Raw genomic sequence first — 8,288 nt, 5'->3', positions numbered from 1 at the left:
CATTACCTTATTCTAAATCATACCAACGTCCTGTGACCTATTTCATGAAAGGCAGAAATTGTCAGGAATGAACTATCATATTTAAAATCAATATATTCCCTAAAGCAATCTTCTATAAGTCCTTTACCTCCTTTTAGTTGTTGCTGTTAAATCAACTAGGACCTCCCTTTTAATTGATGCTTTTGTACTTTTAGTGACTCTTCTAACAATGCTTCTATTATTGGGCATGTGTTTTGAATAGGTTCCTTTTCATGGAGTCATTGGAATAACTAGGAACAAAAATAATAAATTTGATGTATTGGTTCACTGGAGATTTAATTTTCTGTGGATCCCTGCTTTTACATTTAGTTAAGGTTTAAGAGCTCAAAGTATTATTCTTGACAACATGTTAAATGTTTGAGGTATGGATGTATAATGGAATAATGCAATAAATGTCTTGTGTCCATATTGATTTTTTAGATGAATCTGCTTTGAAAATTCTGGCACCCAGCAGCCCAATAGTATTTAACCATGGTAACCTTTGAGTTTTTTTAAAGAGTGTGGCACTTCTATACTCAGGTGTAATCCCCAGCAGACTCTTAGCGAGAGAAGGAGAATTGATCCTAATCCTCTCGTGCCCTAAGGTCATTTCAAGGAATCAGGCTCTCAAGGGCCACACTGCCAGGAGAGCTAGGCAGCACCAACAAGTCAAGCCACAGTGTGATGTTTTCTACATTGTCTGGTATTACTTTCAAGAAGAAAGTGTTCCTTAAGAATGAAGGAATGACTGGCGCACATAGCTCTGCAACATGTGACAAACAGCAAGCACTATTTCATGCCTTCACATGAGACTTGTTAATACAAGTTTTTTGATGACTTTATGAGATCCCTTAGAAAGTTGGATAAACTAATAAAACAATGAAGGCAGTCTGCCTTCACTGAACATAACTGAAGGACCAACAACATGTGGAAAATCAAGGAAAGTATTTATCGTGCATGGTAGATGCCTCAGGATTCATGCATACATGTGATAGCAAAGACAGGCTGTGAAGGGAACGAACAATTGAAGGAAAATAAGGGCATGTTATCTCTCAGGGTCTCCTTCATTTTCAAATCTCTATACTTTCCTGGTCCACATCCCTGGCATGCGTTAAAGTGAGTAGCTTCCTAAAAGGTCCCTTATACCTGTCAAAATTTCAAAACAGCTGTGGGAATCTTTTTATATAGCTTTCATTTTCCTAAGGTTCAACACGAAGGGAGGGAAGGAAGGACAGAGAAAAGAAAGAAGGAAGGAAAAAATGAATGAACAAATAAAAGGATAAACAAACTGGTCTTTAGTGAGAAACTTTGATGAAAGAAATAGAACCACCAACTATATTACAACATAGCTTTTTTTTTTCTTTTTCTTTCTCAGCTTTTATTTTAGGATCAAGGGGTACACGTGCAGGATTGTTACAGAGGGATATGGTGTAATGCTGAGGTCTGCGGTATAACAGAAACTGTCACCCAGATAGCAAGCACAGTACCCACTCGTTAGTTTTTCTGCCTGTGTCCCCTTCTTTCCTCCTCCGTTTTGTATTTCCTAGTGTCTATTGACCTCTCTTTACGTCCATGTGTACCCCACGTTTAGCTCCAATTTATAAGTAAAAACATGCGGTATTTGGTTTTCTGTTACTGTGTTAGTTCACTTAGAATAGTGGCCTCCAGCTGCATCCATGTTGCTGCAAAGGACATAATCTCATTTTTATTATGGCTGTGTATATGTGGTATATACATACCACATTTTCCTTATCCAATCCATGGTGTATATGTACCACATTTTCCTTATCCAATCCACCATTGATGAGCACCTGTGTTGATTCCATGTTTTTGCTATTGTGAATAGTGCTGCGATAGACATACGGGTACATGTGTCCTTTTGGGAGAAGGATTTATTTTCATTTGGATATATACCCAGTCATGGGATTGTTGGGTTGAATGGTAGTTCAACTCTTAGTTCTTTGAGAAATCTCCAAACTGCTCTTCACAGCAGCTGGACTAATTTACATTCCCATCAATAGTGTATAAGTGTCCCCTTTTCTCCACAGCCTCATCAACATCTGTTAGTTTTTGACTTTTTAAGAAAAGGCATTCTGACTGGTATGAGATGCTATCTCATTGTGCTTTTGATTTGCATTTCTCTGGTGATTAGTGATGAAGAGCATTCTTTAATTTCTGTTGGATGCTTGCCTTCCTTTGAGAAATGTCTGTTCATATCCTTTGCCCACTTTTTAATGAGGTTATTTGTGCAATTTTGCTGCTTTTTATTTCTGTTTTCTCTTGGTCACTTATCAAGGAGCAATTTTCAAAAAAAATCATAACAAAAAGCAGTGGTATCCTTCTTTTTATGTTAAGTATTTCTGTTTATTCTGATGATTTAGGACACAGGTGATTTCAAGTTCATCTTTAGAGCATGTTTTATTTTTTATTACTTTCTTTCCTTTAAAGAGCTGAAAGTAGAAAATTATTGGGGAAAATTATCTTCTATTCATGTTTCATTGTTAAATGTATTCATGTCAGTTTGGCAAAATCACTTTCATCATCCTGAACTGATTTCACTAATATTTCCTCCAGATTGCTTCCATATTACGAGTTATATTTTGACATGCCGCATTCGCTGTCTTTTAGGGCCCTCATCCACACATTCAACAAAAATTTCTTGAGTGTCTCAGTCTGTTATGTGCCCACACTTGTCTAGCCCATGGGGTTACAGCAATGACCCAGGAACCCTTGCTTTCAGGTACTTAAGGGGCTGATTCAATAGCACAGTGATCCAAATCATAAATATCCACTTTGTACAAAACCTTTTCAATAACATCTAAATCATTAGGCACTTAATCATACATTACTGCTCTTTCTTCAGAGCACCATAAGTAAGCAATTGAGAAAAATAATTCTAAGTCATTTTCCTGAAATAGGAAAAAAATGATTTTTATAAACTTCTAAACTTTGCTTCTAATACAAGTACATGTTAGTTTGTTTGCTTCTAATTTTTCAACTTGGTAAAACATCTGTAATGTTAATTGGATCATTTGTCAATTGTCAGCATGTTTTTTCAAATTTAAATTCTCTTCTCAGCATTCATTTGTCATATCATTTAATATTACAGGGTGCACCCTTTTAAACTGTGTGCCCTACATACAAAACCATCTAGCATAAATAATACCTGAAACCCAGAGTAACGTTAAATTCTTCAACTAATAGAATTGAGCCCTATGAAAACAATATGTAGGCCAGTGAAAATAAGTTTGTTTTGGACAATCCTGACCCCAATAAAAAACTTTCTAGAGTAGAAACATTGTCCAAATCTACAGCAGTGGAAACCAACAGTAACTTTTAAAATTCATGTGTACCTTTGGCTTAAATTTTATTGGATTAAGTGGCATTTAAGAAGAAAAATACATTCTGTGTTCCTTTCACACTATTTCACTACTGCCAACAGATTTTAAACTTAAGCATGTTAAGCTTAAGTTTAAACTTAAGATTTTAAACTTAAGCATGTTGAGCTTAAGTTTAAACTTAAGATTTTAAACTTAAGTGACCCCCCCCTCCAAACAAAGCATTACGACTATGAAGGACTCTAAAGCAATTTTGTAAAATGTTAGTTGAAGTCTCTGAGGCTGCTAAAGGCCAAACATATGGAAGTTTATTTTCCATTTTTACTGACTGTAGTTTTATCCAGACCAATGGGCCTCTTATTTCATAGTATTTTCTCAGTCCATTGCTCTAAGTTCTTGGCTTTCACCACAATCAGGATGATGGAAGAAAGCAGAGCTACAATTACCACTGTGAGATCCTATCTGACACACTACTTTCCAAACTGCTATAGCGCCTTAGACTGTCTTTGACCTTTTCCTCATCTTGGTGAGCTAAGAAGAAGAAACTCTCCCTGAGCTGTTATTTTTCTCCTCAGATCCATAACTTGTAAAGCCTTCACACTGAGATATCCTGATCTTAAGAGCATACAATCACAATCTATTACCCCAGAAGCTTCCTGGAGATTCTAGGTTACTGCTTTTGCTGCTTTTTTTTTTTCTTTTTAAAGTAGTACAAAACACTGGTTAGCAGTTGTTTCAAATCAGAAATCAGTCTAGCTAGTGAATTTTATCTGACATAGCATAAATTCATGACTGTGCTGTTTTTGTCTTGCTGAATAAGGACATATTGCAAATAATTGGAGTGAGGAAAAGTTTCATTGTTTTCTTCTTTTATGTTCATGTGTTCTTATACTTTGCTGTAATTTATGAATATACTGCCTTGTATTGTTTCATTATATTGTCTCGCTGTTGGAGTAAGGAAAAGTTTCCTTGTTTTTTTCTTTTATGTACACTTGTTCTTTTCTTTTATGTACACTTGTTCTTATACTTTGTTGTAATTTACGAATATACCACCCTGTATTGTTTCATTTATATTGTCTCTCTAGGTGGACTATAAATTCCTCAGACCAGTGAAGAGATTTTATAATTTGTAAAAGCCTCTTTTCATGTCCGACACTGAATAAAATGTAATAAGTAAAGCCTTTCTGAAATAACTAATTGGTTAATTAAATGACCATTTGCTTTGAAAGAAACAAATTCTATAATAATTATTTATAAAATCAAGCATTTTATTTCCAAAGCATCAAAATTAATTTTGAACAAATTCATTAATATTTGTAAGGTAGAAAAATAAAAGAGGATACAAACAAATGGAAGAACATTCCATGCTCATGGGTAGGAAGAATCAATATCGTGAAAATGGCCATACTGCCCAAGGTAATTTACAGATTCAATGCCATCCCCATCAAGCTACCAATGCCTTTCTTCACGGAATTGGAAAAAACTACTTTCAAGTTCATATAGAACCAAAAAAGAGCCCGCACTGCCAAGTCAATCCTAAGCCAAAAGAACAAAGCTGGAGGCATCACACTACCTGACTTCAAACTATACTACAAGGCTACAGTAACCAAAACAGCATGGTACTGGTACCAAAACAGAGATATAGATCAATGGAACAGAACAGAGCCCTCAGAAATAGTGCCACATATCTACAACTATCTGATCTTTGACAAACCTGAGAAAAACAAGCAATGGGGAAAGGATTCCCTATTTAATAAATGGTGCTGGGAAAACTGGCTAGCCATATGTAGAAAGCTGAAAGTGGATCCCTTCCTTACACCTTATACAAAAATCAATTCAAGATGGATTAAAGACTTAAATGTTAGACCTAAAACCATAAAAACCCTAGAAGAAAACCTAGGCATTACCATTCAGGACATAGGCATAGGCAAGGACTTCATGTCTAAAACACCAAAAGCAATGGCAACAAAAGCCAAAATTGACAAATTGGATCTAATTAAACTAAAGAGCTTCTGCACAGCAAAAGAAACTACCATCAGAGTGAACAGGCAACCTACAAAATGGGAGAAAATTTTCGCAACCTACTCATCTGACAAAGGGCTAATATCCAGAATCTACAATGAACTCAGACAAATGTACAAGAAAAAAACAAACAACCCCATCAAAAAGTGGGCGAAGGACGTGAACAGAGACTTCTCAAAAGAAGACATTTATGCAGCCAAAAGACACATGAAAAAATGCTCATCATCACTGGCCATCAGAGAAATGCAAATCAAAACCACAATGAGATACCATCTCACACCAGTTAGAATGGCAATCATTAAAAAGTCAGGAAACAACAGGTGCTGGAGAGGATGTGGAGAAATAGGAACACTTTGACACTGTTGGTGGGACTGTAAACTAGTTCAACCATTGTGGAAGTCAGTGTGGCGATTCCTCAGGGATCTAGAACTGGAAATACCATTTGACCCAGCCATCCCATTACTGGGTATATACCCAAAGGACTATAAATCATGCTGCTATAAAGACACATGCACACGTATGTTTATTGCGGCATTATTCACAATGGCAAGACTTGGAACCAACCCAAATGTCCAACAATGATAGACTGGATTAAGAAATTGTGGCACATATACACCATGGAATACTATGCAGCCATAAAAAATGATGAGTTCATGTCCTTTGTAGGGACATGGATGAAATTGGAAATCATCATTCTCAGTAAACTATTACAAGAACAAAAAACCAAACACTGCATATTCTCACTCATAGGTGGGAATTGAACAATGAGATCACATGGACACAGGAAGGGGAATATCACACTCTGGGGACTGTTGTGGGGTGGGGGGAGGGGGGAGGGATAGCATTGGGAGTTATACCTAATGCTAGATGACGAGTTAGTGCGTGCAGCGCACCAGCATGGCACATGTATACATATGTAACTAACCTGCACAATGTGCACATGTACCCTAAAACTTAAAAGTATACTAATAAATAAATAAATAATAAATAAATAAAAATTGTTTGCATTTTTCTGTGGTAGATAATACATATTATACTCAGTTATTCATAACACATATACACTATACATATGAAATATAGATATACAAATATATCACAATACTATCAACTAAGTTGTGAAATCATGTGGCATGAAATGAACCAAGTCCTCTTTAAATTGTAAATACAGAATACTGTGTGTTTTTATCAAAGGAAAATATTTATAGTCTATCTATTCTCACATTCCTAAGAGTTATTCAAAATCTTAGCATTAAAAGTCTCTAAGAATGCAGTTGTATATCCAATGAAATCGATTGTTTTATCTAATCATCTAGATAATGGCTTAACTTTCTGGGTAAAATATAAACTGGCTGGAATCTTTGTTTATTCCCCGTGGACAGCAAGTCTCTGACTGTTTTGTTTTTTTGTGTAATCCAAACACCGAAAACAGTGCATGGTGCTTAATAGGAACTCAATAAATATTTGTTGAGTAAATGGCTTCTTATTGTGTACAAAAGAAAATATGTGAGTTTACATTTCATGGAGTTATCTAAGTGAAGGAGACAGGATAAAGGGTTTTGCAGGGAACACCATGTGTGCAAAAGCCCTGTGCGGAAGATAATGAGTAATGTTTGAGAACTGAAAATCCCAAGTGGCTAGAATACAGAAACTGGGGGAAAGTGGTTTAAGATAGCCTCGGAGACATAAACGGGCCATATTATAAAAATCTTTTCAGGTCATGTTAAGAATGCGGTCTTTATCTTTAAAGCAATGAGAAGTGGTGTGGAATTTTAGGCAGGGTAGTGGCATAAGCTGATTTGTATTTGAGGAAAATTACAGTTGTAAAACTGAGAAAGGTTGCAGGGGCAGCATGAGTGGAGGCAAGGAGCCCAGTTAGGAGGCTGTCTGGTACTACAGCCCAGTTAGGAGGCTGTCTGGTACTACAAGTGGCAGATGATGTGGGTTGCACTAGACAGTAATGGTGACTGTAGAAAAAAGTTTACAGCTTTGATGTAAAGTCACAAAGTACTGTGTATCACCTCCATGCCATTTATCAAACTTTGCAATTGCCCATTTGTTTCTATGACTATAGAGTGATGTCTACCACTACTGATCTCTGCCCTCCATCAGGCTGACACTAGGTCTAATTTGGCTGTCCATTCTACCCCAGTGCTGAATACCTGGCACACAGTAATTGCTCCATATAGATTTGTTGATTACCTGAATGGAATTATATTCAAAATTAAAATTGTGTTATCACAATACATAAAAGTAAAGAGAGTTTTGCTAAACATTCTGTGTCCAAAACGCTTAATTTTAGAACTTTAAAAGAAATTTTAAAGTGTATAAAAAACCATAAAATATATAGGAATCCTAGAGTTTAGTATGTCTCACAGAGTTTCTAAAAGCTGGATGGTTTAGGTAGCTCCACCATGAGTTAGCCCACTATCTTATGATGTAATTTATTGCATTGGCAAATAACTGGGTTTTAAGAGTAATTCTTACAATATGACAAAATCTATATTCTTTTCACTTTCACTGTTAATTCTAGTTCTGAAGTCTGGACCAACATACAAAAATTCTAATGCTTTTATTATTTCAAAGTTATTTAAATATTTAAAGATGGCTCTGCAGAGTCTACTCTTTCAAGTCTAAATAATTTCAGCTGCTTTTATTTGACATGCTTTCTAGACTTACCATCCTAGACTTCTGAAAATTGTGATGCTTTTTTCCAAATGCCTTTCTTTAGATGCATTTTTGTTTGCCAATGCTTCTAAAACGTATAGCTACGTTTGGAAAGCACCATATTGTATAAATATACAGACATGTATTTTTAAAGTTTATGAGACAAAGAGTCAGCACCATGCTGCAACTGTGGTTTGATCAGCATTGTGTGCAATGGGTTTGTTGCTTCCCATAATCTTAGCATCA

The sequence above is a fragment of the Homo sapiens genome, chromosome 4, assembly GCF_000001405.40.
Source record: "Homo sapiens chromosome 4, GRCh38.p14 Primary Assembly".
Lineage (NCBI taxonomy): Eukaryota > Metazoa > Chordata > Mammalia > Primates > Hominidae > Homo > Homo sapiens.
The sequence above is the reverse complement of the archived record's forward strand: the minus strand, read 5'-3'. Positions refer to the sequence as shown.